Below are 25,995 nucleotides of genomic sequence, written 5' to 3' on the forward strand. Positions count from 1 at the left end.
TCTACTGGCCTTTCCCATACTGCACCTGGCTAGACTATGTTTTATTCTCTGTGTATACAAAGGATAGGACTTAGAGAGTTAGATACAGGGATTATGGCCCCTAAGCAATGCATGCTCAATTACAAATATTAAATTGAGCACAGAACAGTGAACTCTATCTACAAACAGTAACAGATCAGTGTTCAGAATCTGAATGTTCATTTGTCTCACACGGCCTGCACAAAGAGTACAGGCAAAACTTACCTTAAATATCTTAAATAGGATTTTGACTTGGCTTTTCTCCTCTTATGGCTAATAAATGTCATCATCATCATCACCATTGTCATTGTCATCTCTCACCATGCCTACTCTCCTCCCTCCCTAAAGCACACTCTTTCCCTTCTCCCTCCCTTGTTGGGAGCTAAGTGGACAAGAAATGCGGCACAGAACTCTGAGAGAGTTCAAGGCAAAAAGGGTGTCAGGACCTGGCAGGTGGAGAGAATTGAAGTCACACAGCCGGTGATATCAAGAGTGAGTGTGGAAAAAGCAGAGTCATGGGTCAAAGATGCATGAGTTGCTGAGTGGGGAGAAGGAGGAGTTCCAGAAGTGTCGGAAAAGAAACAATCCAATAAAGTAGGAGTAATGTTGTATTTAATAATACACTCTGGGCCAGGTGCGGTGGCTCACTCCTGCAATCCCAGCACTTTGGAAGGCCAAGGCAGATGGATCACTTGAGGTCAGGAGTTCGAGACCAGCCCAGCCAACATGGTGAAACCCCGTCTCTACTAAAAATACAAAAATTATCTGGGTGTGGTGGTGGGTGCCTATAATCCCAGCTGTTCGAGAGGCTGAGGGAGGAAAATCGCTTGAACCTGGGAGGGAGAGGTTGCAGTAAGCCAAGATTGTGCCACTGCACTCCAGCCTGGGCAAGAGAGCAAGACTCTGTCTCAAAAAAAGAAAAATAATACACTCTGATTCATGTCAACAGTGTTCTCCTAACTCTAATTAGTAATGGGTGAAGAGAAACTGCACCCAAAGCGCTCATCTCTAAAATCATTTTAATGTAGATTAAATTTATATATGATTAAATATCTTATTTATATTAATTAGAGAGGTATGTATAAAATTCAGACAAAATCCTCAAATTTTATTTCCACTTCTAATTCCAATTCATCTGCATTACTATGTTTTTTTAGCAAAAATAGAACAATAACTTGTCAATACTTCTCTTGTTCTTCTATGACTTGGATGAGGATAGAGACTGCAGCAAAATGGTCACCATCCGAATCAACTTGAGGACAACAAAGAAGCTAGCATTACAAATTTTGGCAATTCAAATATGGAATAACAGGTTCCTGAAGTATGATTATTCATTGTCTTTCCAAGGAGGCTCCAGGTTCAGAGTAGTTGCATTTAAACTCTGGTTCCAACACTTGCAAACAAGTCTTGGAACTTGGGGAAGTTAACCTTGCTCAGCTGTACTTTTCTCATCCTTAAGACAGCGATAATAACAGGACCTACCTCATATACGGATGTTGCGAAGAATGACATAATACATGTGAAGCACATACATGGCACACATTAAACTCTGGATAAATATGAACCATTACTGTAACACATACAGGTGATTAAATAAGGACTGGCTACCATGATGTTCTCAGATGCTCAAGCGAAAGATGTGGGGGGCATCTTTAACCCTACCTTTCCTCTCATCACCACAGCAAATCTGTGACAAAGTCCTGTCTTTCTTAATTTTAAAATAAATCCTAAATCCATACTCTTCTCTCCACCTCCACTGTAACTGCTGGTACCCAGGGCACCATCATCCCTTCCGGCCGATGGCATCAGCCTCTCACAGGTCCCAGCTTCCAATCTCCTTCCTCTCTAGTCCACTCTCCAAACTGCAGCCAGAGCTGACTCATAAAGTTACAAATACTATCAAGTGGGGGCACTTGTGAACTGTCCTCTATTTCTCTTTGTTTTTAGAATAAAACCAGACTCAGTCCCATGACCTTCAGGGTCTGGCTTAATTTGACTCCTGTCCCCCTTATTCACTTCATCTTATTCCACTTTCCTCCTTGCTTGCTTATGGTCAGCCACAATGACCACATTTTAGTTCCTTATCAACATCAACCCTTTCTCCAGGTACTCACTCTTCTCTCAGCCTGCACTGTTCTGTCTCCCATTCTCTCTTTTTTAAATTTATTGATTTACTTATTAAAATTTTTTAATTTTTAATTTATTTTAAATTTTTTAAAATTTTTTATTTTTAATTTTAAATATATAGTACATAGATATATTTGTGGGGTACCTGAGATGTTTTGTCTCCCATCCTCTTAATGGCTGGCTTATTACTATCCTGCAGACCTCTGTTCAAACTCTGCCTTCTAGAGAAGGCTCTGTCTTTCCTGCCCAAGGGGGCCTCCTTTATTAATTGGTAATCTCATCCCCTGGCTTATTTCCTCCATGGCTTTCATCACAACCTGTAATTATCATCTGTGTTTTTTGTTGTCTACATCTATGAACAATGACATCAAACACAGTTGTGTGTGGTGTGTTCTCAACAAAGAGTTACCTGTTTCTATAGATGTTTTATGCTAGATGTTGGGGAAATACATTTTAGCGAGACCATTTTTGTATTCTCTCCAGGATGTCAAGGAACTTGAGGTGTATTGGAAGCCCTGTAGAAGTGGAAGTGGCAACAACACCGTACAAAATGCTATCATGGAGCCAAGCACAAGCTGCTAACTTTGTCTGGTGTTGGGGGATCGGGGAAGGAAGGGTTCTAAGTGAAGTGTCATCGCGGGTAGGCTTCACTGAAGAATGAGAAGGGATTATCTCAAGAAGTAGGGAGGAAAGGACATGCTCAAGCACTTCTCTGCCCCTAAAAATATCAAAGACACATTGACTCAGCAGAGCATGCCACACACAAAAATCGTGAGGGGTCTCAAGGGAGTAAAGTGTGTCTGTTGAGAATAGGATATGTGAGAACAGCACACTTGAGTGTGATGGCTCAGAGGCTGGATTCTGAAGTCAGACCACCTGATTGGAATTCCAGTTCTGTCACTTATTAGCTGTATGATTGCAAAAATTTACATGGCTCTGTGAGGCTCAATTTCCTTCTCTGCGAAATGGGATTTCTCATGACAACTTCCTTAAAGGAATCCTGTAAGAATTAAATAAAATAAATATTTTGCAGAGTATCTGACACATACTGACTGCTGAAAAAATATATATAAAAAAACAAGAGTACCGGAAATCATATCACTCAAACACTTAATACTTTAACATGTTAGTGTTCCAGGCTTTAGAATAGGGAATACATAAATATATATTTTTGTGACCTAAGAGTGGGAAAGGATTTCTTAAATAAAATTGAAGAAGTGCAAAAAAATGAGACAGAAAATGGACGCATTGGATTGTATTAAAGATTTCTGTTCAATTGAGGTTATCATAAGTAGACATATGGCAGAATGAGAGAAGATATTTGTTATTTCTAAATCTGAGAAGGGATTTTTTTATCTATAAAATAAAAGGAAGTCCTTCAAATCAACAAAAACCCAGCAAATTTGATAGAAAAATGGACAAGGGATATAAACAAAAAAAAATCATAGGCAACAAAACCCCAAAGGCTAATGAGCATAATAATTGCTTAACTTAATTTTTATCAGGGAAAAACAAAGAAATAAACATTGAGATATCCATTTATTTTAATTAGACTGACAAACTAGGAGCTGGAAAATGCCCAGTGTTGGCAAGCATAGGGGATATAGAAAGTATAGACTGGGCTAGCCATCCTGGAGAGCAATCTGACAGTAAATTAGAAATATACGTAGCAATTCCACTCCCCGGTATATATCCCAAATATATTCCCCAAAAGTGTCTTAGAAGATATATCTGTCAGGATAAGTTCAGTTGTGTTGTGAGACAAAGAATCCCCAATCTCAATAGTTTGAAACAATACAAGTTAATTTCTTGTTCATACCATGTTCCATTACACATTGGCAGAGGCCTCTCTGCTCATCCAGTCTCTTGAAAACTATGCTGGCAGAGCAGGCTCTTTTTGAACATGACTCATCCCTGTACCAGGGGTGAAAAGCATGTACTTGTGGGGGTCCTCCATGGGCAACTAAATGCCCTAGCCCAGAAATGATATATGTTACTCTTTATACAATTCATTGGCCCAAACCAGGCACATGGTCCACCTGACAATAGGGCGTCAGAAATTACAATCCTACCATTTGCTGCCATAGAGTGCTACTCTCTGACCAGCACAAGGGACATATACAAGAATATCTACTAGAAGTATTGGGAGGTGGGAACATCAGCTTAGATGCGTTCATATTAATACATTTGAATTTTTAAATCACGGTGTCGAATTAAATAAAAGAAAATGAGATAAAATTTTTAATAAAGCAGATATTTTTACATAAATATTGTTTTATGTAAAATAGTATTTATGAACTATTTATATAACATAGTATTTATGTAAAAATACCTACACATTTTATACAATAGACATTTCCATGGCTCCACCCTCTGGGCCCAAGTTTCTACCCTAAGGGCCATACCTTCTTTTCCTTGAAGGGTAACACACATTTGCAGCTGAGTAGTTTCATCAGCCAGTTTCTTGCTTGTAGAATTTGGGGAGTAAAACAATCTTCCTCCATTCATCCTTTATTCCTTTTGATTCAAGCTGGCAGTGTTTATATAACTGGTAATGTTGGTATAACATTCTCAAAAACCTGTGGGTCTCCTGTATATATCATAAAATTCACACAATTAGACAAGAAGGTCTCCCACAGATCTTTCCTGGGTCACCCCATCTCCATTCTTCACTTCTGCAGATAGTTGAGAGGAATCATGAGCCACTCACGTAATCTCTTCAGCAAAATGTTGTCCAGCCACACCCTGGGCCTTCTCTCCAGAGCACACCTTCCTTACAGTGAATATACTACTTTTTCTGTCCTTTGCAGTCTGATAGGTTGAGAATTTCCAATATCATCAAGCCCTAGTCCCTCTTTATTTAACAGTTTTCCTGTCAGTTTATCTCTTCTCACATTTTACTACAAGAAGCAAGAAGAAACCTGGCTTCACCATCAATATTCTTCTTGGAAATATCCTCAGCTAAATATCAAAGGATGTTGCTTCTAAGTTCTGCTTTCCATACAAAACTGTAGAACACAATTCAGCTAGACTTTCTGCCACTACATAGTAAGGATCCCCTTTCCCGGAGTTTACAAAATCATATGTCTCATTTCCTTCTAAGTCTGCACTAGCATCAGCTTTAACATTCATCTTTCTATTAACATCCTCTTTATGACAATATATGTATTCTCTAGGATAATACAGGCTTTCTCTATCACGCTCCTCACTTCCTTATTAGTCCTCACCAGCAGCATCCTCAGCAACCATTTTTCTACCAACAGCCTGTTTACAACAATCTAGGCTTTATCTGTCATGCCCCTCAAAATTCTTCCAGATTCTGCCCATTATCAAATTCCAAAGCCACTTCCACATTTTTATGTATTACAGCAGCATCACATTTTCATTACCAAAATCTGTATTTGTTTCCTGTGCTTTTCACAAATTACCAGAAACTTGGTGGCTTAAAGCAATAGAAATTTATTATCTCACAGTCCTGGAGGCCAGAAGTCCAGAAGTGGTTCCACTGTGTTGACATCAAGGTGTGGACAGGGCTGCATTCCTCTGGAGTGCCCAGGGGAAGGTCTGTTCCTGGCCTCTTCTAGCTTCTGGTGGCTGCTGGCATTCCTTGGTTTTTGGCTGCATCATTTAAATCTCTGCCTCCATGTTCACATTTCCTGGATTTCCTTTGGAGGGCCATTGTTGGGTCTATCACAAATATTTATATGTATGCTCATATACTCTTTTATAATGTTAACATAGGAAATTATACTACTCAATTTCTTAGTGTTGAACCACACTTATATTTTTAAAACTCTACATAATAATCACTTTATCCTTTTGATGTCTTTACAGTTTTTCATTTTATGGAACTACCAGGCTTTATTTATGAAACTTTACTAATAAACATTACAGTTATTTTCAACCTTCCTGTATTATTTTATTATTGTAAAATTATTACATATGTACACATAATCTTTGTGTATTTATCCAACTCCTTCATTGGAATATATTCCCTGGAGTGGAATTGCTCAGCAAAACATACACATTAAAATTTTTTTATTTACCTTACCAAATCACCCACCAGAAAGTTTCCAATTTAAAACCTCATTTCTCATCTCTCATCTAAGAGAGTTTCTCATTCCCTCTGCATCTTGCCAAGTTCAGAGTACTAACAATTTATTTTCATAAGAGGTAGGGCATATTACTTCAATGTTTTCTTTTGTATTGCTAATTAAACAGCTGTTTTATTTTTATCAGTAGTCCATTTATTCCTGCAATTATCAATCTTTTCTTTTTTTGCAAGAACTTCTATAGATGAAGATAGTAGCCTTTTATATTAAGATAATAACCTTTTTGTTTAGGTTTAAACTATATTTTAGTATTTTTTCATTTTTCACTCACTTCAACTCTGTTAATATTGCCTTTAGTTATATAAAGGTTTAAACTTTTTAGGAACTAGATTATGTAATGTTGTTTTAAGAAAATCCTTCTTTACTCCAGGAATATCAGCCATTACTGTTAAATGTGACCTTACTCTCAATCACAGGATGGTGAGGTTTTAAGAGCATTTGTGTTTCACTGAGTTATTTTCTGGGTCAATTCTGGGCTGTCCCGATACTTTTATTTAATACCGCCTAAATCTGCCTCTTGAATGCCAAGGTTTGGCAAACCATCTCAGTTGGCAAACCATCATAAAAATATTCCGCAGAGCCATCTTGATCAACCTCTTAAGTCAGATGAGTGTTTACCTTACCTATTGTTCATGTTTATTCTGGGTTTTTATAAAGTTGGGGCACTTTTTTTTTCCCTTCTGTTTTCTTCCACTGAAAGCTGAAATCACTGTGCTCTAGAAGCAAATAACTAAAATGAGAGAGGGAGCAGACACCTGAGGGACGTCACACAGTTCTAGTCTCAAAGTTATTTAGGGGTTGATGAGTATGAGAATCACAGCGTGGTGTGTCACAGCTGACATGTGGTGTCTGAACTACTTTTGTCAGTTTGTGTACTATTTTAATCCCAGGAATAAACAAAGAAAAAAAAACTTGCCTGATACTAAAACTTTGTTGGATATAAAGTCAACTTAGAGCCTGAATTCAGACACCAGTTCTAGACAATAAGAGGGTACATTTTTTCCCCTCTCCTTAAGTAAAGAATTTTTTCAGGGTCAGCAAAAGTCCAGATGAAGTAAATGTTAAAAGATGTGCCTCCATAATAGTTTATTTTTCTGTCTGAATTCTTAATCAGGTCCATATTTAGATTGTTTGCATTCATCTTAATCACTTATCAGAACTGTTTCTTTCCTATATTAACTAATATCAAGGGATGGATGAGAGCTATCAATTAAATTTTGCTCATGCCTGCCTCTCTTGAGGACTAGTATGCTTTCCTTTAGAGCTGTAATCAATGCAGATCCCTTCAGGGTATCCACCCTTGCAACAGCTGTCATCCTAGCTTACCTCAATGAGGTCATCACAGGCACACCTAGTTTTTTTAATTTTTCCTCTATAATTAATTTCCTTGAGTCACTGAATACCTTTATCTACCTTCTGCCATAAACGTCTCATTTTCTCTAATATCCTTATTTGCAGTAAGTCAACCAGAATTGAGCACAACATGGCTTTTCCTTTCAATGGCGCTGAAATAATTTCTTCTGACTCATGCTCTGCACACTGAGCAGTGACAGGACAGTCTGTGATTGTTTGTTTAAGCACTTGTATGTTAGATTATTTAACTGCTTGTTTAATTGTACCTCACTGAGTGTTCTGCTCTCTGTTAAGCCTTGTTATCATTTGAGGCTATTCACCAAATACTTCTCTCTTATTCTAAATGGTTCGAGGAAAATATTTACCTTATTTCCTCAATTTTAAGATGCACTACCCCCACCCCCAACACACATATTTTTACATTTCTGCAACCAGAATATGTTCTAGAGTCAACGTGCACATTTAATGTAGTGTTTCCCTTCAAAAAGAGTGTCTTAGAATGGCTTAGAAGCCTAGAGCTGTGGTAAGTCAAAGATACATAAAACTGTCTCATGTGTTCCAGCCACTAACGCATGATCTTAACTCTTTTTTTGACTTTATTCCTCAGGTGCTTTGGGGGAAAAAAGTACATTTGCATTTCATGAGTTTAGGCCTGAGCTTTTGTAGTTTAGTATCATTGACTCTCCTTCCTCTTTGCTATTTCCTCCCATTGGATCATTATGGTATTATTATTAAAAAGTAAACTATTCCTGGAGACCCTCTCTGCTTTTGAGAACATCTCCCATCTCCCTTCCACTTAGACACACACACTACCTTTTTTATGCCTGGCCATTTGGCTTTAGTCTTAACTTCTTTGCCCCTGAGTCTATGGAGGAGTCTTACATGTTGCCCATTATATCAAAGCTTTGTGGAAGTCAAGGGTGGATTATGTATAAACACAACTTTCTTTGTCTTGGCACTTCCTCATACATTTTCATAAAATGTTAACTGCTGAATTCCATTAGCTCCAAAAAGAGAGTGAGTAGAATGCCAGGTTTGAATGTTAAAGTTCTACGTTAAACTTTCAAAAATCTAAAGCCATCTTCATTATCTACAATCCTTAAAAAATTATCTAATCAAAATGTTTACTGGATGCAAACATTTTCAGTCAGCACATGGAAGTCTGAGAGATAGGTAGATGAAAAATAGGTATATGTTTGTATCTATAAAAGTATGTGAGTATTTTTGCTTAAAATCTAAATAATTATTAGTGTATTCATTTCTACATATACATAAATTGATATGTAATTGTGGATTACATAAAATTGATCCATGTGATTGCGTACATGTATAGAAACATGTAAACTTAGCCATACCTTTATAAACCATACATAATTCATTTAATGACGTGCAATAGAAACTAGGTTAAAATTTGAGCTCTGCCATTGTCTTACTTTGTGAAACTAAGTCACTTAAATGTTCTGACCCTCAGTTTTATCTTTGTAAAATAAGTATGAAACAATAATGCTGCCATACATACCACAGAGGCCTATGTGGAGGATCATTCAAAAAACTTTTTTAACTATAAAATACTTTATAAATATTAATAATGTTTAATGAGATATGTATAAATACCTCAACTTACTCATAAAAAATCCATATTCTTAAAATAGTATATTTTTCAACAATTTAGTATTTCTTTTTTATTTACAGCTGATATGTAACACAAAATAATTGAAACTTTCTTTTTAAAATGAATTGGTTTAAAATATATTAAATATATATTAATCTATAATGTATAAATAATATATAATATATACATAAAATTTATCATATATATTTATTGTATTATATATAGTTGTACATGGTTTTAGATACCATAAATATATAGTATAAATTTATAACAGATGTCAACTTATTTTCAGTGGTCTTATCTTCAGTAGTCTAGTTCAGAAAACCTATAAGAAAAGGAAAAACCTACTTTTAAAAGTTATGTTTATTTTCTAGCTGCTTAGGTTTAGCATACAAACCTATATAAATGTGATTTGTTAAAATAATGGCATAAGTTACATGTAAATTTAAGAAATGAAATCAGTCCTATGCAGATATCTATGGCCAAAGTTATACTGCATGATCAAATACTTGCAAAGACCTATCATAGCCTTGCAAAATTAATCTTAAGTTAAATATAGTCTGTGAGGCACTGCTGCACTGGAGTTTCTGGATGTCAAGGTCACCCTAGAAATGTCCCAGGAGAAGGCTCTGGATATCACTGACTCAGACATTTAGAATCACCCCTTTTAACACTGTGCTTGCTGAGACTTGCAGGTATATTCTCTGTATTATAGCTTGTAAATATAGAGAAGCTTTCTCACAGCAGCCACGCCTATGAGCATCTTCAATGACTTTACCTCAAAATCAACCACATAGAGTCAACTTGGATGAAATCTTTATTGTGAAGCCTCCATTCTCATGTGAAAAATACCTTTTTTGGTGGGGGCGGATAGGGTAAAGAGCCTTATAGTCTTTGTCAACTGCTCTCAGGTAGAATGACTAGACAGGGAAGAGCAACATCCAGTGAAGTACAATTTGGTTTACAGACCCCCAAAAAGTATCACAAAGTAAACTGCTGGATCTTCTTTCACAGTTGCACATGTGTCTGTTCCCACCTCTTCTTAAACTTACTGCTTTCCAGTCAAGCAGCGGAGTGTAATTCCCCTGTACTTGAATCTAGAGCAGCCTTGATAATTGGTTCTTTCTGGTGGTGTGCAGGAAATGCTACCCCCAAAATATGGCACCATGGCATACTAAGTAGTTTCCATTTAAGGAAATTGACAAAATCTGCGGAAGCAGGAAGATCTCTCTGACCTGCTCCTGTCCCCTCTCTTTTGAAGCAGGTCATAGAAACTGAAATTCCCCTCACTCTTCCTTCCATAAAGCAGGACATAAAACATAGGAAGGTCATTCTCTGACCCTTTCTCCCCTGAAGACCTTCCTGTGGCAGGTGTCCTGACCTACACCTGGAGAAAAGAAATGTCACACAGAGAGGTCAAGAAGAGTCTGAATGAAAAAGGCTTTGCTAAAGTCTCACCCCACCTCACCCAGTTTATTGCCATTAGATCACATCCTTTTGTCTTCTAATCATATTTCTATGTGACTGTCCACAGTTTTCCCTGGGTCTTTGGGTCTTCCTCTCTGGAGGCGCCTATGTAACATAAAACTTATATTAAATATATCTGTATGCTTTTCTCTTATTTGTCTTTTGTTATAGGGGTGTCAGCCATGACCCTTGCAATGGGTGAGAAAAGGAATTTTTCCTCCCCTACAGTTCATAGCCAATAAAATGTGTAAGAAGTGATACAGTGTGACAGGTCATAAAAGGTGACATGGCTTTGGCCTTGTTCACCAGGACACTAGCCTTTTGAGCCCTGAGCTGCCATTTAAGAAGTCCAATCCTGGGCGAGGTGGCTCATGCCTGTAATCCCAGCACTTTGGGAGGCCGAGATGAGCAGATCACAAGGTCAGGAGATCGAGACCATCCTGGCTAACATGGTGAAACCCTGTCTCTACTAAAAATACAAAAAATTAGCCGGGCATGGTGGAACGCGCCTGTAGTCCCAGATACTAGGGAGGGTGAGGCAGGAGAATCACTTGAACCTGGGAGGCAGAGGTTGCAGTGAGCCAAGATCGTGCCACTGCACTCCAGCATGGGCGAAAGAGCGAGACTTCATCTCAAAAAAACAAAAACAAAAACAAAAAAAAACAACGAAGACAAAAAGAAGTCCAAATATTCTGAGGCCGCCAAGCTGTGAGAAAGCCTCACCCACAAGGAGGAGCCACACACTCATGGACCTGGCAACAGCCTCAGCTATAGTTCCAGCTGACAACCAACATCACCGTCACACATAACTAAAAATGCCTCTAGGTGATTCCAGCCAATAGCCTTTGCATCTTCCCAGCTCAGGCTGCAGATATCATGGAGCAGAGAGGCAAGCCAAGCCCACTGTGTCCTGTCTGAGTTCCCAACCCAAAGAAATTATAAGCATAATGAAATGATTATTTCATGTCGCTAAGTTTTGGGATAGTTTATTTCATTGCAATAGTAATTGAAATACCTCCTAAGTAAAAAAAAAAAAAAAAAAAAAAAAATCTTTCTTTCACTATCCTCTCACAACACACTTCTGACACCAGATGTGTGGGGATTTCTCCCCACCAGCAAGCAATTGATCAGTTCTGCAGTGGACACCAGCTGGCTGTCCTCCAATTCAATTCTGACACTATCTACTTGGAGATAGCATCAGATCTTGTGGGTTGAGGGCTCAGTCCCCAAAACTGCCCCCTGCCCCGACACACTTTGAATGCCAATTACAAGCCCCAGGATATTTTATTTTACCTATGTGTTTGTGACCAACTGGTTATAAAACTATAAAACAGGGTTCTTTGGGCTTGATTAATTTGCTAGCATGGCTCACAGAACTCAGGGAAACACATTTACTGATTTATTACAAAGATTATTACAAAAAATACAGACGGAGAGATGCATAGGGTGAGGTAAGGGGAAGCGGCCTGGAGCTTCCATGCCATCTCCTGGCCCAACACCCTCCAGGAAACTCCACATGAGCTATCTGGAAGCTCATCCAAACCCTGTTTTTTTAGGTTTTTATAGAGGCTTTGTTACATAAGTATGATTGATTACGTCATTGGCCATTGGTGATCCTCTTTAACCTTCAACCTCTCTTCTCTTCCCAGAGTTGCCAGTGTGGGCTGAAAGTTCCAACCCTCTAATCTGCCTTGGTCTTTCCAGTGACAGTCCTCATCATGAAGCTGCCTAGGGGCTCCCAGCCGTCATTAGCATACAAAAAGACATCAGCTAGAGATTCTAAAGATTTTAGGGGTTGTATGTCAGGAAATGGGAGGAAAACCAAATATATATTTCACAATACATATCACACCTTCCTTCGACTCTAGTTTGGGCTCCTGACTTGCTTTGGTCAACAGAATGAGGAAAAAGTGGCAGTGTGCCAGTTCTGAACCTAGGGCTCAGGAAGACTCGCCTGTTTCTGTTTATGTGTCATGCTCTAGACGTCACAATGAGAACATGCTTAGACTAGCCTGCTAGAGAATAAGGGACATGAGCCATGCTTAAGTCATCCCAGTCATCCCAGTTGAGGACAGCCTAGATCAACCAACAACCAGCCAAAATTCAGACATGGAGCAGAGCCACCTAGCTAATGACTCCAGACAGAGAATAAATGAATGTGTGTTGTCCAATGCTGCTAAGATTTTTGTGGATTTTTAATTAATTAATTACTTTTTAAAAATACAGATTCTTGCTCTGTTGCCAGGCTGGAATGCAGTGGCACAATCATAGCTCACCGCAGCCTCTACCTCCTGGGCTCAAGCGACCCTCTGGTCTTGCCCTCCCAAAGTTCTGGGATTACAGGCGTGAGCCACGGTGCCTGGCCTTGTGGATGTTTTTTAAGCAGCATTACTGCAGCAGATGATAATCAATACACCATTTTAAAAATCCAGAGAAGACATTAATAACACACCCTCCTTTGGTCTCATAGTCCCCTTCAGCTACTGCCTTGTATGTCTACTTTTCTTCACAACAAAACTTCTCAGGTTGATTACCTACTGACAGTTTCTACTCCCTCACCTCCCATTCTTTCTTCAGCCCTAATCACTCTGACTCCTGCTCCCACCACTACTCTGGAATTGCTCTCGTCAAGTCAGCAATGACTCTCATGGTGGCAAATCTGATGATCAAGTTGCTTTGTGATCTCACTGGGCTCTGTAGAAGCGTTCAACATATTTGATAACTCTGTTTGTCCCTTTTTTTCTTTTGGCTTCTGAAATACCTCCAGGTTTTCCTCCTATTTCATTGGTTATTCTTTTTTTTTTTTTTTTTTTTTTAGATGGAGTTTTGCTCGTGTTGCCTAGGCTGTAGTGCAATGGTGTGATCTTGGCTTACCACAACCTCTGCCTCCCAGGTTCAAGCAATTCTCCTGCCTCAGCCTCCTGAGTAGCTAGGACTACAGGCATGCACCACCACGCCCAGCTAATTTTGTATTTTTAGTAGAGACGGGGTTTCTCCACGTTGGTCAAGCTAGTCTTGAACCCCCAACCTCAGGTGATCCACCCACCTTGGCCTCCCAAAGTGCTGAGATTACAGGCATGAGCCACCATGCCCGGCCGGTTATTCTTTTTTTTAAAAAAAATCATTTTTTTTGCATTATAATGAACCTTTGCTCGTTCATTTTTTTTTTTCAAATACTTATTAGGCACCTATTGTGTGTCAAGCATTTTTCTGAATGTTCTGGTCACAGCAGAAAAACAAAACAAAATCCTTGCCCTCATGGGGCTTACATTCTAGTGACAGGAGACCGAAATACACAAATAAACAAGTAAGTGTATATCACATGGTGATACATTCTATAGAGAAAAATCAAGCAGATACAGGGGGATAGATAGTGATGGGGTTCCTATTCTAAATAAGGTGGTCAGTAAAGTCCTCATTGAAAGGGTGACATTTGCACGGACCCCAGAAGAACATAAGGAGTGAGCCATATGTCTTCTGAGGGTGGAGTATCCCAGACAGAAGGAACAGCAACTGCAAAGGCCCTGAGGCAGCAGTGAGAGTAGCAGGTCCCCCTGCCTCTTTTAAATATTTTATTATACTCATTTTCAAATCAATCGCTTGGCTTTTCAAATTGAAAGCTTCACTAAGAAAAAACAAAACAAAACAAGAAAACAAAAAAAAAAACAACAATGAAGCAATCCCTCACAAACGAATGTCTCAATTTAACACAGTTTAGGGTATGAGGAAAGGAAGGCCTTTTATATCTCATCTTGGATCATTTGCTCCAGTGTTCTGGAGCAGACTCTCTGATCTCTACACAAATGCTTACTGCTTATCTTTAAAAAATCTTTTTAAATGGTGACTCAGCTGGGTGCTTTCCAGTCCCTCTTCTCTTTCTGCACTCATGCCTTGGGGGAGCTCATCCATTTCCATAGTTTAAAATACCATCTAGAAGCTGACAATGCTCAAGTTGACAAGACTAGTCAAGACCTTACTGCTGAGCTTACTCAGATTCCAATAACCAACTAGATCACATCTAATGATCTAGATGTGATCTTGACACTTCCACTCGGGCATCTCAAAATTACCTACTTCCAAAGAGAACTCTTTATTACATCAATACTCCACAAAACTCAACCCTATCGCCCCAGTATTTTCCGTCTTTAGAAATGGCCATCTACTCAGTTGCTCAAGCCAGAACTCTGTTATCATCCTTGATTTCTCTCTTTTCACTATACCCCAAGTTCAAATTATTAATCACTTAGACTGTACCTCCACACCCAGGCACTTCTTTCTATCTCCACTTCACCCATCCTGTGCCAAGGCACCAGTACTGAGTACCATATCCATGATATTCATGGGAGAAGCCACTGCAAGTGTAAGATAAGAAAAATGAATCTAGACCATATCATCACACAACCCTATTTAACTAAATTTAAGATAAAGCAAACTTCCTAAAAGGCCAAACATATATATATATATATATATATATATATATATATATGAATATAATACCCAATGTTGACTTTTTCAATTAGTTTTATATTTTGCTTATGAACAGTATTTTATTTATGATATTGGATAGATCCCTGTGTATAGTGAGTTTTAAAGTAAAAATGAGCAAAATTTAGGTTGAGAAAATATTCAGAGGTGTGGAAACATCTCAGTGCTTTTTGTAAAGTCACTTTCATTTCTCTGATTTTATGATTTTTATATGTTCTAAGATGAGGTTGACAACTCTGGCCCTTTCTTACTCTAGTCTAGTTTATTAAATTATTAGATTCCTGGCTTTTACAATGTGAATAGAGTCTTTTGTGAACATGAATAACTATTATTTTAATAATAACTCACCATGCTAAAAATTGGCATTTAAATTTATAAATAAGATCAGAGCTGCTGACCTCTTTCAGTGAAGAAAAGAACAAAAAGAGTTAAGTTAGCAACTCATTCTGATAGTCCACCTAAATCAATTAGGATGTTAAATCCATGCATAAAATAATGTTTAATAAAAATCCTTTAAAGGGAAAATTGTTTCATTTTAAACTGAATGAATACAAAAGATGACATGAGTTTCCCGGATTACCACTATGAGGCTCTAAGACACCAGACTCAGGCATTGCTAATAGTTCAACAGTAATTGGAATATTAATAGGACATGTCATTCTGATTATATAGAATATGCATCAGAGTATTTTACCAAACCCTTCTGGATTGATTGGAGATTGCCAGAGAATAATCTGATTGTTGCTTTTCTCAGTTTAAAAGCCCCATTTCAGTATGCTTCTCGCAGACTCTATTTGAGGACATATTCAAAATAAAATCGATGCATTTATAACTTAATTAGCTGGTCTATATTGATTCGTGTTCCAGATATCCAGTTTGCATAGCATTATTGCTTTCACTAACTACTTGTAAATATATCCTAGGTGCCATATTGGGTTAATGCACTAGTTTTTTCCCCCGGAGGGAACTGAACTAGCAGCTGCCATAAGTCATCAGTAAAGTTCTATGTTTCTCAGTTTTCTGCTAGTCAATACATGTTAATAAGATGTCAAACTCATTTATCACTTAATCTCAGTCAAGTCCTGGGCTCTGTATATAACATTAGATCAGAAATGGTTGTTTTACAATGAATGTACTGTTCAAAAGTGAAGGGAATCTTGGCATTTAAACAGTTGGCTCTCTCTGCTCCATGGTTTATATAAAAGAGGGGTCAGGATGTCACTGGAACAATGACGCAAGAGCATAACCTGCCAGGGTTTGGATCTAGTCACCTGTTCTCATCCTGCCCAGTTTCAGAAGCGGAAGATGACTTTTCAACTTTGCCTGCCACACGTTTACCCAGAAGTTGTCATATAAAAAGAAAAAAGAAATCAGGCCATATGTTACTTCAATATTCTCCTGACTTAAAAAAGCAGTGGAGTCCATGCTATATGCCCAGGACTGGTCACTCTTCTCTAATTACATCAAGTGAATTTTTGAACTTTGCTCTCATAACATGCAAATATTCCCCAAGCAGTGGAGGAATGGCAAAACTCAACTCTTGAGGACTGAAGCAAACAGAGGCTTAAAGATGTAAATGGACTTCAGACTTGAAGCTCTGGCTCTCTGGGCTTGTTTAGGATGTCATTGATTTACTTACTCCATAAAGGTGGAGAGAGAGAGGATGGGGAGATAGGTTTAATTAATCTTAAATATCTCTGCAATTTAAGAATTGTAGGCCTGGAACAGTTCCTGTACTAACATGATTAGCAAATATTGACTTTTGAATACAATAATAATGTGTCATCTAAAACCCTTGATAAGTAACTTAAGTACTTCCTTAGCTTGCATCTTATTAAATTAGATGAGGTATGGTGGAGGCACATTACACAAAGACACTGAAATGAAAAATCAGACCTAAGTGGGTTTTAACATTGATTCTAAGGGAGCCAAAAGTCACAAAGAAAACATGTATGCTTCGGTTCTGCAACCTATGAATAGAAGCTGTTTATTTTCTCTAAACGGATTTTTTTAAAGTACGCAATAATTTTCATGGTGCAACTGTAGTAAACAGTCACAATTTGTGACTTTGTGACAGCTGTAATCAATCATCAGATTACGTATGATGACCATATAATTTTAGTTTTATGGAAGGTTAACTTACATAGATTGTGAGCTTTTGATGTTAAAATATAGAAGAAAGATCCATGTTACAGCAGGGAGCCTGTAAATATGGAAAGGATGATCTACCCAACTCCCTTCATAAGGTTTGACTTAAAAATGTGTACAAGTCAGCTAAGAAAAGAGTTAAAAGATGTGATACTAGTCAGCTGCAACCTGACAAATCTTACTGTATTGATTAGTTTTCAAAGGCTGTATGGCATGTGTACTCTATTTACAATAGAATTGGAATGAGAAGAGCAAAGCCTCCAAATGTCATCAAAGCAAATGGTCTGTGAATGTTGCTCCAAAGCTAGTCATTAGTTGCCAGGGTATTTGGCTGCAAAGCTTGTAAAGACGTTTCTCTGGAGGGGAAGGTATGACAAAATGCACTTCTTGGCAAAAAGACTTCGGCTCAAATAGCAGCACACATTAATTCTTGCTTGATTACATAAAATTAATTAGAGGATTAACATCCTTCATGAAATTTTGCCTGTTTTTTATCCTTTTCTTTAAAAAAAAAACAAACAAAAACAGGAATAGACCCCAGGCCTTTTTGGTTCTCTAATGAAATTGCAAATTGACTTGTGTTCAAATGGTGCTTGAGTAAAATGAACAATTAAAAATGTATTGCTAACAATGAGATGTATCAGCTGATCTCTTTAAGGATTAATTAGTTCCAGGAATGATCTTTCTTATACAACAGACCAAGGGGGATAGAGCCGTCAAGGGCAGAAAAGAAGGTATCAAAGAATAGGTTTTTAATGCATGCAAGTGCACACATGAGTGTGTGCATCCATATACACACATGTAGTAAAAGAACACAGAAATACATGCAAGCATCTTTACAGGTTTAGACTGTAAAGATGAGCTGCAGCATCCTTAGAGATATTTATTCCACTTCAGCTAGGATGATTCGACTGTTGCTGATTAGTGATCCATTAGTTAGCTTGAAGGCAGCCAACAGATTTTACCGATTGTAATTTATCATTAAAGCAGAGAAATGCTTTAGGTATTTAAATAATGTATGCAGATAAATTCACTCTTATTAATTACCCACCTGTACCAACCTTGTAAGAATCTTTGCCCCCTATCAAAAGTTTGCTCTCTTGAGGAAATTTTCAAAGTTAACCAAAAAAAGAAAAGCTCTCTCCCTTTGTATTTGTCAATTCTGCATTTCAATCCACCCCTTCACAAAATATCTGATATGTTTCTGGTTACACTTTCAGTGCTTAAAAATCCTAAAATTATCTCCACATTTGCCATTGAGGATTGAGGACTTATTTTGCAAAATATGATACCTCTGTCATTTCTTTAGCAAAGATTTCAGATACAGTAGGGATAAATTGGAGTCCCCAGAGCCCACAGCAAAACTCCAGGGGAAATGGACATTGTTTTCTTCTTCAAGACCAGTTTCAATAGATGATATTCTAGAAAATGTCATTTTTCTTAGGCTGCCCTAAAGTCAGATCTCCTCATTGCCGGTATTGTGCCGTGTCAGCCTAAAAGGGCATTTAGCATTGAGGCATTTGGTAAAGACTGCTTTATTGTACTTCATCCTCTCTACAGGGCATTCTGAAGAGATGAATAAGAAGTGCGAACAGGAAGAACAAGTTTCCAGTCCTGTCAAATTAATTAGACTAGCGTAGAATGAGGTGAGGTTTGCCATTAGGTAGGTTGAAAACATGTAAAGAAAATCATCTATGCAAACTGAAAGGATTTTTTTTTTTTTTTTTTTTGAGATGGAGTCTCACTCTGTCACCAAGGCTGGAGTGCAATGGCATGATCTTGGCTCACTGCAACCTCTGCCTCCCAGGTCCAAGCGATTCTCCCACCTCAGCCTCCCGAGTAGCTGGGATTACAGGCACCCACCATCACACCCGGCAAATTTTTGTGTTTTTAGTAGAGACGGGGTTTTGCCATGTTGGCCAGGCTGGTCTCGAACTCCTGACCTCAGGTGATCGGCCCACCTCGGCCTCCCAAAGTGCTGGGATTACAAGCGTGAGCCACCGCACCTGGCCATCTGAACGGATTTTAAGAGGGCAAGGAGCCCTCTTATATTTTTGTGTGTTTGTGCAAGAGACATTATACACGTGGATAACTGTGTTGTATATAAATGTATAGCATCTTTGAATGGAGAATGGTCTGTGTGTTTACACGACACACAACATTTGCAAAAAAAAAAAAAACAAACATGGCAGGCCAGTTGGAAAAGGAGAGCCACAATTAAAATAACACCTATTTAATTTTTTAGAAACATAAAATATATGACCTTTTACTTATAGGAGCAAACCCTAGTTTGGACTAAGAACTGAATCATGTGAGCTTATGGGGAGATTCATCAGAGCAGAGGGAACAATGCAATTTGGTGGTTGTTTTACCAGGTTCCAGTTGGGTGCTTTGAGCCTCAGATCTCCTGTAGGCAAAGATACAGGAGAGGGAGAGTTACATGTATGGTTAGGTGCTATTATCAATGCAGGGCCTAGTGGGTCATTTAAGCTCATTTTAAATGACCTTTTGAGAAACATTTCCATAGACTTCACTCTATTCTGGAAAATTGATCTTGGTAATTGAAGTAATCAATTTGTGTATCTGTAGAGCACCCACTGCTTTGGACCGCCCCCACAAAGCAAGCTGGCCAAGATTCCATCATGCAAATTGATGTTTTGATATTGAGTTCCAAAGTGGCAGGCTGCAGCTACCCTGTTCCTCTTAGTCCAGAGAAGTAGTTCACCTCCCCAAGCATGGGATGGATGTCCATTGCACTAGTTTAAACCTTGCTAAACCAAATCATTTCCCGAATCACATTAAGGTTGGTAAGTGATTTTATTTATGCAAACGACATGGGGTCATGAAACTATGTTTTCATATGTCCAACTTTGTTGTTGGTGGGGTTTTTTTTCGCTGTTGTTATTATTATTATTATTATTATTTTTGAGGCAGAGTCTCAATCTGTCACCCAGGCTGGAGTGTATTGCCCAGGCTGGAGTGCAATGGTGCGATCTTGGCTCACTGTAGCGTCGCCTCCCGGGTTTCAAGCAATTCTTGTGCCTCAGCCTCTTGAGTAGCTGGGACTACAAGTGTGTGCCACCACACCTGGCTAATTTTTTTTGTATTTTTTAATGGAGACAGGGTTTCACCATATTGGCCAGGCTGATCTTGAACTCCTGACCTCAAATGATCCACCCACCTTGGCTTCCCAAAGTGCTGGGATTACATGCGTGAGCCACTGCACCTGGCCCAACTTTGTTTTTTAACCTTTGTGGTCTTCATGTATCTCACCAGTTTCAAATCCACTTTCTCTGGCCTTTTATAGTTCCCTTTCTCCTCTACCTAGCATCCGTCAACATTGATGGATCACATTCCAGGCCCTCTTTTTAATAAAGAAAAGAGACTGTACAATTGTCAGTGATCCTTTCTTCTCTGCTTCTTTATATCCTATCCTGCAGCATCTTGGGTAGAAGTCCAAAGCTAATTCCAAGTGAGGGATGCTTCCCTACCATCAGGTTATTTTTGGAATTGATGCTCTCATTTCATTTTGTTCTGTTTTTTCATTAACAGGTACAGGAAGGCAGAACTGCCTCATATCTGAGTCAGAATGCTGGGCTTGATTTCTCATGTAACTGATGAAAATGTCTTACACAAAATGATGACCGTAAGAAACATCAGAATACTTGCTTTGCCGGATGACACCAAGATAACTAGAAGGTATTTCTACTTTCTTTTTGGATGTCAAAAAGTCTGTTTCAACTTCTCATTTTTTCAGGGAAAGCCAACTGCTCTTCAGTTATAGCAGCAGGACATGTTATCTTCCAAACAAAAGAAATTCATGTTCATGATGAGTAACATTTCCAATTAAAATTCATCATGAACAGCAGGCTTTATATCTTTTTTTGAACAGTGTGAATCATTTTTGATGCTGGGAAATGTGCTTCATTTACCTCCATTTTGTCATAGAGTGTCTACTTCCACTAGAATTTGTTATATATTAGTAAATAAAACATCATCTGACATTTTTGTCACTTCTTATGTTGGGGTGCTGATGAAAATAATGAGAATGCTCAGAGGTTATGGGAAATTGTTTATCAAGGAATGTAGGTGATGCTGCAAAGTATAAGTAATGCCATACAGCTGAATGATTGATCCCTGCTGCATATTTTAAAGCTCCCTTCATTGCTTATCGAAACCTTTTAGGTAATGCACTCCTCTCAGATATCATTTTATGCTTGAAAAGCTTTATAATTCATAACGAAAAGTTGCTTAGTTACCTCAAGTGAATCCACAGGTCCAATTATTCTCCGTGCAAATGGTTGGACTCCATTTTGACCAATGTTTATGGTGTTTGGCAATTTTTCAGTGGCTACTTTGCTCTGATATGATTAATTTATTGCATAATACTCTGCTTTGCATGTGTGGAGCCTAAATAATCTTAGTAGGCAGAAAGGAAATAAAAGACCTATGTCTTTCGAACTTGGAAACATTGGAAACATAACATCACCACGTCAATACTGCCAAAACCAATACCAGTTAGCCTCGATAAAGACAACTTGTATGTGCTGATGACACCCAGTCTTGGGACAGCCAGCCCTTCCCTTGTCCCATTCCTTGCCTTCTCTACCTTCAGAGATCCAAGCAGGGGAGAAGCAGCAGCCCCAGAACTTACCAAATCAGATTCAATCACCAGGAAACTCCTGGCATCTTCCCATCAGTATCTTTTCCTGTGGCTTTCCTGGGCCTCTTTCTTTGACAAAGTTACATAGAACACATGCTCTTATTAAATGGCTACACATGAGGTTGCCAACCCTTTTGTGGAAATATAAGGAACATACATATCTGTCAAATGAATGAATGAGTGAACTCAGGATCTATAAGTGTGGTGACTGCTGGGCTTCTGACCTTGGGAAAGTGTTTATCTACCTCTGTCCTTAGAGGATTTCCTGATGCCCTTACACTGTGAAATTCTTGCTTTCTCTGAGGTTTCTTATTCTGTTTCTATTTCCTTCAATCCCTTGCCACTTTTCTTTTGATCATTGGTATACGGTTGTGAAATGACTGCATAGGATAGGAAGCCTGGAGATGGAAAGAGCATGGGTTTTGAAATTACACCAACCCAGGTTAAAATCACCATTTGGCAAATCACTAGCTGGCAGCCTTGGGAGATATTACTTAACCTCATACAGCCTCAATTCCCCCACCTGAAAAACTGGAATAACTCTCTCTCTCTCTCTCTCTCTCTCTCTCTCTATATATATATATATATATATATATATATATATGTGTGTGTGTGTGTGTGTGTGTGTGTGTGTGTGTGTGTGTGTGTATAGCAAAAATGCATTAGAATTAAGATGAAATCTCCTGTGCAGATATACTAGGAATACTCATTTATTTTATCTAACACTCCTCTAGCACTTCCTGAAGTATGTCCCAGATGTTCCAGGTACTGCTCTAAGCATTCGATGTACCAATGAGGTAGTTGCTATTACTCCCTCCATTTCACAGAGAAAGCAACTGAAGAACAAATGGATTAAGTAACTTGACCAGGGTCTCATGGCTTGTAATTGGCAGAGGCAAGATTAAAACCAGTCTGGCTCGCTACGGAATCTGCACTCTCAACTACAGTCCAAAGCTGCCTGCCATAATGATGGCTTCCATTATTATTATTGTGATCATTGTCCTCATCACTATTACTATCATTATGACTACAACCAGGGGCACTTGGAAGACCTGGAATCAAGTGGAGATAAGCGGCGCATAGGGTGCTAGTTAGGCACAGAGCATCAGGGCGGCAAATCCAGACCTTTCCTTTCATTTTGTATCACAAAGCCTGTGGGAAGACATTATCACAAATGAACAGCCTAAAGCCAATGCCACAGCTCAGCATCCTCAGCTCTGTTCAGTGGTAAGTGTTCATGTAGCCCAAGGGCTCAAGGCCATTGCAAGCCATTGCATCTTCATATAATGCTAAAATTTTCACTCTTGTTCAGGTCTTCACCATACATTAGGTTGGTGAGGCAGCTCTTACGACAAAATTAATTTACAGAGGAAAAATATTTTTATTAAAAGATAGCTCTTTTAGCCAGACACATACCTGCTGTCTCCACTACTACGTAAGCTGAGGCAGGAAGATCACTTGAGAGCAGGAGTTTGGAGACTATGATGAGCTCTGATTGCACCTGTGAATAGTCACTGCACTCCAGCCTGGGCAACATAGAGAGACCCTGTCTCTTAAAAAAAAAAAAAAAAAAAGACTGCTCTTTTTAAGTACTCTTTCATTACATAGATGGCAATAACAAATATTCTCTCTTTTTAAAGATGAAACACTACTGAGCATCTGTCAAATAAGATGGCAACGTTTTCCTCCTCTCAGAAGCAGGAAAAGAATGTAAAATTATCGCTATGGGAAAAAAAAACTCACCTGCTACAGTCATCAGCTCAGTTTATTTGAAAGAAATCCTAGCTTGTCAACTTTGCTTTCCTCAACAAATGTCCCTGAAAGTAGCGGGATTTAGAGATTTCAAGAAAATGTGGAAGTAACTCTGTTCAGCTCAGCTCTATGGACAGAGGATGGGGAAAGAAGAGGGTGGTAGTTCCATATCAAGGTCTGTTGCTCAACCTTGAAAATAGAGACTCATACTTAATCACAGATGATTTTGATGCTATTGTTGGCAAAACAATAGGAAACCACATAGAACATGCCTTTATTTTCTAAAGACTAACCAGAAAGAATGATTTAGTTAAAATTTTCATGATTGTCACCACAATTCATTTCTTATCAAGAGCTACCCATATCTAGAAAAAGTGAAAATCAATAAAAAACAGTGAAATATTCCTGAAAGGTGCATGTAGGCTCTTCTCCCCTGCCCCTGCCTATTTATAGTACTTATAGGTGAATACATCCACTACGCCTATGATCCTCTGAGAGTGGTTGGATGCTTTTATCTTCCAACCTGGAAATATGTGAATGTAAAGCCATGATGTAACACACAGGAACACACCCTTTACCTAGGAACACACCCTTTGCCTAGGAACACACCCTTTGCCTAGGAACACACCCTTTCATGTACTTACATTTGAGACTAAATAAAAAGTCTCTGCAAATTTCATGAAATTATTTAAATACAAGGCACACTTGCAAACTATAATCATTTTGCATCTCAATGAAAGACACAGAATCATAATCAAAATTGCAATATCTAGTTTTAATGTACTGGATTACATTAAAATAGTATTACTATTTGAGAATCAAAAAGAAAAAAATATAAGTAAAAAGGCAAGAAAAATATTTTTTAATGTTGAAGTCCTGATAGGAGACTTTGCTATGTAGATTTAGGCATCAGGGAAGACTTTTCACATCAGAAATGCCAGCCACTTTCCCACAAGAAAGAATATTATGTGCACATCTTAATAATTCAGTTCACTAGAACTTTTTCTGATTCTCCTTCCTCTATTTGTAAAATAAACAATTTTAAAAAGCTTCATGTAGTAACCATGGAAAAAGAAAAAGGCATGTATTGATAATCTGAGATTGGTGATTTTTTTTTTTTTAAAGAATTGGTATGTCAAAAGCATATGCTGTGCCTCATGGCCAATATGGAAATGTCAGGGGTTTAATTGGCAGCTGTGAATAGCAGCACCTGCAAACAGCTCAGGGCTTGTTCCTGTGGTCTGGCAACATTCTTACTTAATGCTTTAAATAAAGGCTTACTCACTGGGACAGAAATAACTGACAATGGATGATTGATGATTGTCCATCACGCAATGGCTGACGTCTACCATTCACCAGGTCTGTTTACGAGCGCACGCCCAGATTTCATTAACAGGGGCATGACATCCAGGAGTGGGCCTGCCACAGATGGCCAGTCAGTAATCTAGTTCAAAACACCTAGAAGAGACCAAGATTTGTTAATCTGGAAAAATAGATTGTTGCAGATTCAGAATGCCTTATGAAGATGATTTTCAAAGTTCCCTTTTCTTTTTTTCTGCTTGTGTTCTTTTGTTTTGTCAATGTGTTTGGTTTCAAGTTCAATGTCAGGTTACATTTCTCTGATTCTTATTCCATACTGACTTTGCATTTGAAAGATGCGATGGCAGAAAGACGTATACAAGGAATTATATTTCTAATCATTAATTTATAACACTAATGTCTGGGGGACTATTCAAGCTTTGAGTATAGTCAATTTTACTATTTCAATTAGGAGGGCAAAAAAAGTGCAAAGAAATAAATCCACAGTGCATATACATGGCTAACGTGAATTTTCACACCTGGACATTCGTCAGCCCACAGCACGCCTCCAGGTACAGCCAAAAAACACACCAGCATATGTGGTGTACTGCAAAGAGCACTGGGATAGCAAACCTTTCCAAATAAACACCGCTAAATTAAAGCAGCTTTGCCCTGTTCAGTAAAACAGCCCATAGTATCTTGGGCTGACATGTTGTAGTATGAGACTAACACTAAGCTTTAGTTTTCTTCTTCCTGTTTCTCCTCCCTAAAGTCTCTTTTTCCCAGCTACAATGTTTTGTGGTACACATATACCTTGATTATTATTTCTCTCCAGTTAAGGATTAATCTCCTCTGATGCACTTACAAACCTTTTCATGGTTAGTGACTGGACCATGGGTTGGTTTGTTTGCTTGTTGGTGGGTTTTATTTTTTGGCCTACCTTTTGGACAGTGGCAGTT

At 38.4% G+C, this 25,995-nt stretch overlaps 1 long non-coding RNA gene across 1 annotated transcript, besides 1 other annotated feature; it reads right to left on the reverse strand.

Annotated features, from left to right (window-relative positions):
- Positions 1 to 4,577: 4,577 nt before the first annotated feature.
- LOC107985891 (uncharacterized) lies at positions 4,578 to 25,496 on the reverse strand. The gene is made up of 3 exons (XR_001739520.2): positions 25,023 to 25,496; positions 23,402 to 23,537; positions 4,578 to 4,735 (listed from the first exon to the last, which is right to left on the reverse strand). It is a non-coding gene; the product is annotated as an uncharacterized LOC107985891 (long non-coding RNA).
- Positions 24,790 to 25,370: an enhancer, noted in NCBI's record as "OCT4-NANOG hESC enhancer chr2:67690923-67691503 (GRCh37/hg19 assembly coordinates)". NCBI's record gives its function as "activates a minimal SCP1, AML or CMV promoter by ChIP-STARR-seq in primed H9 embryonic stem cells {active_cell/tissue: H9 hESC(primed)}" and the evidence as "EXISTENCE:reporter gene assay evidence [ECO:0000049][PMID:30033119]".
- Positions 25,497 to 25,995: the final 499 nt, after the last annotated feature.

The sequence above is a fragment of the Homo sapiens genome, chromosome 2 (assembly GCF_000001405.40).
Source record: "Homo sapiens chromosome 2, GRCh38.p14 Primary Assembly".
Taxonomy (NCBI): Eukaryota; Metazoa; Chordata; class Mammalia; order Primates; family Hominidae; genus Homo; species Homo sapiens.